The following is a 1,822-nucleotide window of genomic DNA, read 5'->3' as shown; positions in this document are numbered from 1 at the left end:
CAGATACTCTCTCCCTCTCAAGATCCAAATTTAACGACGTCTGCAAAGTCCCTTTTGCTATATAAGGTTAACACATTCACCGGTTCTGGGGACTAGGATGTGGACATCCTGGGTGGGGGGGGGCGGGTGCATTATTCAACTTACCACACCTCCCAAGAGTCAGGGCAACCCTCATTGCTTCTCTGAGGCCAGGCCAAATACTCCCTGGGACATTCATATATGTTCTGGTACTGAAATAACTTGTGCCAAAATGAGAACATTTGAGGTTCATCATTCCAGCCATTCCCTCATCTTGGCCACCCTCTGTTGCCCATCAAAAGGTGCTCATTTGCTGTTACCTCCTCTTGTCATCTTTTCCTTCATCTTTTTACAGTTTTGTTCTCTTATTCCTGATGCTTCTGAAGATGGCCCCCTCCCTCCAACTCTTTCCATTGTTAGGTTGCAATGCTGCATCATTGTCATGTTCACAGGCAGATTGAAGACAAGATGAGTTAAGCTGCACTTTAACCATCTCAGTAGCATCAAGATCTTTGAAGATTGCCCTGACCACTTGTAAGTATTACGCTGGCATTCCTCTGACATTCATCGATCATTTTTCCACATTGAAGCCATGTTAGAGGTCTCTGGGCTTTAGGTCTATAACTCCTACCCCCACCCTGCACAAGTCCATCCTTCATACTGACCCAGGGGGGCCTTTTTAACTGGGAAGTCTGCTTACTGAGGCTCCCTGATCTAAAGTACTCCAGTGGCTCCCCGTCATCTGCTGGCTGAAATCCATACTTCAGCACAGCACATCCAGCCTCTCATGAGGGTACTCCTTCCTTGTTCTCCTCATCCACTCCTCCACTTGCATCTCACCCTCTAGACAAACCGAACTGCCAGCCTTTCCCTGAGCACCATGCCGTTCCCACTGCATGTCGTGTCCTCCTTCCCCTCCTCGTGGCCCACTTGGTGCACTCCCACTTTCCCCAAGGTCTTGGCCCAAGGCAACACCCAGCCTTCCCTGATCTCTCCAGGTGGAACTGATACCTCCCCTGTTTTTCCCACAGACCCCTGCTCAGGCTCCATCCGTCACCTCATGAGACCATCTCTCCCTTTGTGTGTAAAAGTTGTCTGTTTAAAAATGAGGCAAGAGGCCGGGCGCGGTGGCTCATGCCTGTAATCCTGGCACTTTGGGAGGCTGAAACGGGCAGAACAGGAGTTTGAGACCAGCCTAGCCAACATGGTGAAACCCCGTCTCTACTAAAAATACGAAAAATTAGCCAGGTGTGGTGGCAGGCGCCTGTGGTCCCAGCTACTTGGGAGGCTGGGCAGGAGAATCGCTTGAACCCAGGAGGTGGAGGTTACAATGAGCCAAGATCATGCCATTGCACTCCAGTCTGGGCAACAAGAGTGAAACTCTGTCTCAAAAAATAAAAATTTTAAAAAGGAATTAAATTAAAAAATAAGGCAAGAAACTTAGAAGTCACAAGGAGGCCTTCATTCCCTGACAGCTATAAAATGAAGTTTCTAATTTTGTTGTAATTGTCAAGTTTCTTTTAGCCCAGAGTTGTACAATTGTACCTGATTATTTAAAAACATTAAAAATACAGTTTAGACATGAAATACATACACTTAAATAATTATGTTTTATAAAAAATTTGGTCAAAGAGTCATAAATGCAAATATTATGGATTGTATGACCCAATTACATCTGGAAGTTCCAGATAGGACCTAATAAACATAACTTTAAATATAGAGCTAAGATAGAATGAAATAAAAGGAAACTCCAGTGTGCCCCAAATGAAGGCAAAACTGTACCCCCAAGTTGTCAGCACATGGG

This window comes from Homo sapiens, chromosome 7 (genome assembly GCF_000001405.40).
Source record: "Homo sapiens chromosome 7, GRCh38.p14 Primary Assembly".
In the NCBI taxonomy this organism is placed as follows: domain Eukaryota; kingdom Metazoa; phylum Chordata; class Mammalia; order Primates; family Hominidae; genus Homo; species Homo sapiens.
Note: the sequence above shows the minus strand (reverse complement) of the source record.